This window comes from Homo sapiens, chromosome 8, assembly GCF_000001405.40.
Source record: "Homo sapiens chromosome 8, GRCh38.p14 Primary Assembly".
NCBI lineage: Eukaryota > Metazoa > Chordata > Mammalia > Primates > Hominidae > Homo > Homo sapiens.
This window is the reverse complement of record NC_000008.11, coordinates 130,037,280-130,043,279: the sequence shown is the minus strand read 5'-3', so window position 1 is coordinate 130,043,279 and position 6,000 is coordinate 130,037,280. Positions and strand designations below refer to the sequence as shown.

The following is a 6,000-nucleotide window of genomic DNA, read 5'->3' as shown; positions in this document are numbered from 1 at the left end:
ATATATACATTTTAGGAGTGGAATTGCTGGGTTATAGATAATTCTATGTGTAACCTTCTGAGGAACTGCCAGACTGTTTTCCAAAGTGGTGACACCATTTTCCCAGCACTTTGGGCAGCTTCCCAAGAAGAGAAATCCCTCCCAAAGTGCTGGGATTACAGGCATGAGCCACTGTACCTGACCCAGAGCATTCTTAATGGCTTATAACTGCTTTTTTTCTTTTCACTTTTTTGATCATAACTGGTCAATGATCATATGCTTTTAGTAGAGGAAGCCTGAAACTGCTCTTTTAGGGCAATGGAGAGGGAGAAAGGGCAAAATATCCCTGCTTTTGCTTTTATTATTACTAAAGCAGAGACAAGCAGAAATGATTCTCAGCCTGTTGGGCCAGTAAGAAGTTTGCCATCAGCCGAAAGCAAGAGAAAGTGTCGTTTATTTGTCTCCTGTCTAGGGGAAACAGCCTTTTGGCCCTAGTAAGGGGTTTCAGTCTCCCCCACAGCATCGCATCTGCCACATCCCAGCCTAATGGGGAGTGCTGCCTGGACAGATGTGCCGGGAGCCTTTGGGCCTAGTCTGTTCCGGGTTCTGCCACTCTGATGATACCCACAGCCATGCTTTGCTTCCAAAGTCAGGTGGCACAGTGGCCTGGGGGAGAAGAAAGGGCCAGGCCGGTGTTAGGTTCTAGAACAGTGGGTCTGGCAAAAGGCCCAAGGGTGAACTGTGGGTTTAAAAATAAAAATGAAACTGGTCTAGAAGTTCCTCATTATTTCCCCTCAGGCCCTAACAGTAAAGTCACTCCCCTCCATGAGTCAGGCTGAGAAATGCTGATACTGTGATAACACATCACCTCTACTCAGAGAATCCTCCCTGCGAGGCAGGATTCCTGGGGCTCAGACACACCCCGGCTGGCGAGGTGTCTGCTCCTCCTTGTTCCCATGATGCCCCAGAGGAGCCAAGGCCAAGAGGAGCCAAGCCCAGAGCAGGTACCCTGATGCTACCCTTCCGCCTCTGCCAAGCAGACCCATTGGTCCCTGCCAAATCTCTGAGTCTTTGCTTTTCCCATTACTTAACCTGTGGGTCTCAAACTTGAGTGCTAATAATGCAAACCCTGCACCCCGCTCTCAGAGACTCTGAGTCAGCAGGTCGGGTGGAGCTGGCAGAGGCCCAGGATTCTGTCTTTGCAGATTCCCCCAGGTGATTCTGATGTCGGTGGTCACAGACTATCCTTTGAAAAATAGCATTTACACATTTTGATTTTTTTTCTTAAAGCAATATGTGGATATTAAAGCAAAAAAAAAAAAAAAAAAAAAAAGGAGGGCTTAGATGGAAATGGGCTGGATCCTGGCCTGGCCTCTACCACTGAGTCCTGCGAGGCCATCAGGCCATGCTTTTCTCACTTGCTTTAGCGTTTCCCTCATCCCTGAGGCACCTCCTGCACAAGCCACTCTCCTTGTTCCCTCCACACTCCATCAGCACCTTGTGTAACCTCCGGCAAGTTGTGGGGCTCAGGCCATGACCAGATGTTGAGCTTGCTAGGCATGGCCTGTGTCTGCCCATCTGATGCTCTCTGCAGTGATATGCACAGCAGCTCCTCAACATCTTTAAAACCTGACCCCATGGCTGGGCACGGTGGCTCACACCTGCAATCCCAGCACTTTGGGAGGCCGAGGTGGGCAGATCACTTAGGAGTTTGAGAGCAGCCTGGCCAACATGGTGAAACCCCATCTCTACTAAAAATACACAGATTAGCCGGGTGTGGTGGCACACGCCTGTAATCCTAGCTACTCAGGAGGCTGAGGCAGGAGAATCGAGAATCACTTGAACCTGGGAGGCGGAGGTTGCTGTGAGTTGGGACTGCGCCATTGCACTCTAGCCTGGGCGACAGTGAAACTCCTTCTCAAAAAAAAAAAAATAGATAAACAAATCAAAAACTTGACCCCCTCCTACCAAAAATACACTGAGAGAAGAGGTGAGAACCACAGAAGCCATTCTCTTGCCTTCTGGCCTAGGAGAGGACATTCAAAAACAACTGATACCTCATCCAATTGGTATTGCTATCAATATAATCCTATTTGTACCTGCACCCAATTAGGAGGGGAAGAAGGAATGAGGAGGGGCAGCCCTGCAGGACAGCAATGGCAGGAGACAAACTGGAACCTGACTGCTGAGATCACCCACCCCCAGGACTGCTGAACCAAGATGCGGGGATGTGGCCCAGGCTGTGGCCCTTGCTGGGTGCCTATAGCCAACTTGATGACCTTGAGCGAGCATTTTTCCCTCTAAGTTTGAGTTTCTTCATCTGGAAAACAGAGATTACATAGTTCTGCCTAGATCCTGGCACTGTTGGGAGCATGTGTGTGTGTGCATGTACATGCATAGATGTTCTTACGTGTGTGTGTGCACTTGTGCATATATATATGTATGTAAGCTTTTTATTTATTTATTTATTTATTTTGAGATGCAGTCTTGCTCTGTCTCCCAGGCTGGAGTGCAGTGGCGCAGTCTTGGCTCTTTGCAAGCTCCGCCTCCCGGGTTCACGTCATTCTCCGGCCTCAGCCTCCCGAGTAGCTGGGACTACAGGTGCCCACCACCACGCCAGCTAATTTTTTGTATTTTTAGTAGAGATGGGGTTTCACTGTGTTAGCCAGGATGGTCTCGATCTCCTGACCTCATGATCTGCCCGCCTCGGCCTCCCAAAGTGCTAGGATTACAGGCGTGAGCCACCGTGCCCAGACCACTTTTTTTTTTTTTTTTTTTTAAGATGGAGTCTCCCTCTTGTCGCCCAGGGTGGAATGCAATGGCGCGATCTCGGCTCACTGCAACATCTGCCTCAAGGGTTCAAGCAATTATCTTGCCTCAGCCTCCAGAGTAGCTGGGATTACAGGCACCTGCCATCACGTCCGGCTAATTTTTGTACTTTTAGTAGAGACAGGGTTTCACCATGTTGGCCAGGCTGGTCTCAAACTCCTGACCTCAGGTGATCCGCCCACCTCGGCCTCCCAAAGTGCCGGTATTACAGACATGAACCACAGCGCCCGGCCTGTGTGTAAGCTTTGAACATGGTAAATCACTATTCTATTAACGAGCTGATTCCTCTTCCCTGACCTTCTGGAAAGTGGATGCCTCTCGTTGCTTTCCTGGCTGCTCGGCTGTATGTAATGCAGCCCTGCAGGAAGGTCGGGAGCTAAGGGGCTTTCTTCTCCACTCCAACGAACCCGTTAACTCCCCTCTGATGCCCTGGGAATGCTGGGTCAGGGTTTCAGGTCACAGTGCTCCCCCATGATGCAGAAAGATACCCATCCTGGCACCTTCCTAGAGCTTGTCTGACTGACAGCTTCAGGCACCTGCTAAAGAGGAGGGCTGCAGAAGGATCTGCTGGTCCAGGGAGACCAGAGGTGGCCGCAGCCGCTGAGAACACGCACTCAGAAGTAGCCCTTCCTGACCTTGGGGGTCTCTGGGTCCAGAGAGCTTGAGTGACCTGCCCAAGTGTTTGTTAAATGCTATTTTCCAGGCATTCTTCTAAACATTTCAAATACCTTAATGTGTGTAAATCACAAAGCAGCTGTATTAAATAGGTTCTATTAGCATCTCCACTTTACAGATGAGGTCTCAGGGGCTTAGAGGGTGTCATTTCCTACGACAAATTACTGCGAACTTAGTCGTTTAGAATAACACAGATTTATTCTCTTCCTCTTCTGGAGGTCAGAAGTCTAAAACCAAGGTGTTGGAAGGACTGTGTTCCTTCTGGAGGCTCCAGGGGAGAACTTCCTTCCTTGGCTTTTCCATTTTCTAGAGGCTTCCTGCATTCCTTGGCTTGTGGCACCTTTCCTCTATCTTCAAAACGTTTCACTCCAACCTCTGGCTGCGTGGTTTCCTCTCCTGTTTCTGACTTTGACCCTTTCGTTCCCCTTCATAAGGATCCCTGTGATTACATTGGGTCCACCCAGGTAATTCACGATAATCTCCCCATTTGAAGATCCCTCATTTTCCCAAAGTCACACAGCTAGAGCGTATGTCTTGGGCAAGTGTCGCCCAGGTGGCTTGCTCCCTCAAACCCCTTGTGACTACAAGCTTGTGCGCTGTGAGCTCCCTCCTGGTCTCACACCCCACAGCTGTCTCAGGCCTGCAGCAGGCAGGCGAGGCTGGCTCCTGGCTCTGCCCTTGGCCGGTTTCCCTACCCCACGCTCACCAGCCAGGGGCAGGGGCAGCCCAGCCAGCTGACTGCCTGCAGCAGGAATGGATGAGAAGGCAGGCCCAGGTGGCCCCAGGTAGCCCCCCAGGAATCACAGCCTTGCCCTCACCACCAGCTCTGGTTCTCTAACTGACTTAGGCTTGGAGCAACCTGTCCTTATACCTGGAGGCCCATCTTTATAGTAGACTGATAGCCATTTCTCCTCTGGGAGCCATTTTTTCTTTCTTTTTCAGAGACAGAGTCTCGTTCTGTTGCCCAGACTGGAGTGCAGTGGCATGGTCATAGTTTCCTGCAGCCTCGAACTCCTAGGCTCAGGTGATCCTCCTGCTTCAGCCTCATGAATAGCTGGGTCTATAGGTTCACCACCACGTCCAGCTAATTGTTTAATTTTTTTTTTTTTTTGAGACAGAGTCTTGCTCTGTGCCCAGGCTAGAGTGCAGTGACGTGATCTCAGCTCACTGCAACCTCTGCCTCCCAGGTTCAAGCAACTATCCTGCCTCAGCCTCCCAAGTAGCTGGGACTACAGGTGCACACCACCACACCCAGCTAATTTTGGTCTTTTTAGTAGACATGGGGTTTCACCATGTTGGCCAGGCTAGTCTCAAACTCCTGACCTCAAGTGATCTGCCCGCCACCGCCTCCCAAAGTGCTGGGATTACAGGCATGAGCCACTACACCTGGCCCCCATTTTTTTCTTTTAACTGTGTATATACTATGTGCCAGGTTCCATTCACAGAAAATAATCAACACAGCACTGCCTATGTGGAGACTCAGAGTCAAGTCAGCAAAATAAATGCATATAGGCTGGGCACCGTGGCTCATACCTATAATCCCAGCATTTTGGGAGGCCAAGGAAGGAGGATCACTTGGGGCCAGGAATTGGAGACCAGCTTGTGCAACATAGTGAGACCTCATCTCAAAAAAACAAAACAGAAAAAACAACAAAAAAAATGCACACAATACTTAAGCAGTTTTCCAGGCAACAGACAATCTAAATTATAATAATATTTTTGGCAATACATAAGAAGCACAAAACTTATTAATACACTGACCAAAATTTTAATTCTTGGGAAATTCCCTAAGAAAAATAAAACATTTATTTTATGCAGTTATTTAAAAAATATATGTGAGTAGTTAATTTTGATAGAGCCACCCAATAAAATAATATGTAACCACAAAAACAGAACCACAGAACATGCAAACATGCTGAACACATGATGTTTCAGAGCAGAATCCAACATCCACCAACAGGAAACTGATTTGCAAAAGTCAGGTGACTCTTGACAATGGAACACTAACAGCCGGCAAAAAGAAAGAGATGGAAATTCTCGATGTGTCAAACAGTAACATACCTGCTTTTTATATGGAAAAAAGTTCTGAAAGGATTTGAGTGCCCTGGTTCTGAGGTCAGACTTTTTATGTACTCTCAGTATAACCAGTTTAGAAAGCAGATAGTAATATTTAATAAATTTGAAGCTGCACATAGCTACCCATTACTCAGCTAATCCATCCTTGAGTACATAAAAATTCTGTCCTACACGTGCAAAAGGAGACAAGGGAAATATTCTTGCAAAAGTACTGTTTAAATTAGCAAAAATATCAGCCCGACCAACATGGCAAAACCCTGTCTCTATTTTAAAAATACAGAAATTAGCCGGGCGTGGTGACACGTGCCTGTGATTCCAGCTACTTGGGCGGCTGACACACAAGAATCACTTGTACCCAGAGGGCGGAGGTTGCAATGAGTCAAGATCACGCCACTGCACTCCAGCCTGGACAACAGAGCAAGAATGTCTCAAAATGAATAA

General features: G+C 48.2%; 3 annotated features.

The window, feature by feature from the left end:
- Positions 374 to 1,189: an enhancer, noted in NCBI's record as "H3K4me1 hESC enhancer chr8:131054337-131055152 (GRCh37/hg19 assembly coordinates)". NCBI's record gives its function as "activates a minimal SCP1, AML or CMV promoter by ChIP-STARR-seq in primed H9 embryonic stem cells {active_cell/tissue: H9 hESC(primed)}" and the evidence as "EXISTENCE:reporter gene assay evidence [ECO:0000049][PMID:30033119]".
- Positions 723 to 842: an enhancer, noted in NCBI's record as "active region_27978". NCBI's record gives its function as "activates an Ori minimal core promoter by ATAC-STARR-seq in GM12878 lymphoblastoid cells {active_cell/tissue: GM12878}" and the evidence as "EXISTENCE:reporter gene assay evidence [ECO:0000049][PMID:35858748]".
- Positions 893 to 1,012: an enhancer, noted in NCBI's record as "active region_27977". NCBI's record gives its function as "activates an Ori minimal core promoter by ATAC-STARR-seq in GM12878 lymphoblastoid cells {active_cell/tissue: GM12878}" and the evidence as "EXISTENCE:reporter gene assay evidence [ECO:0000049][PMID:35858748]".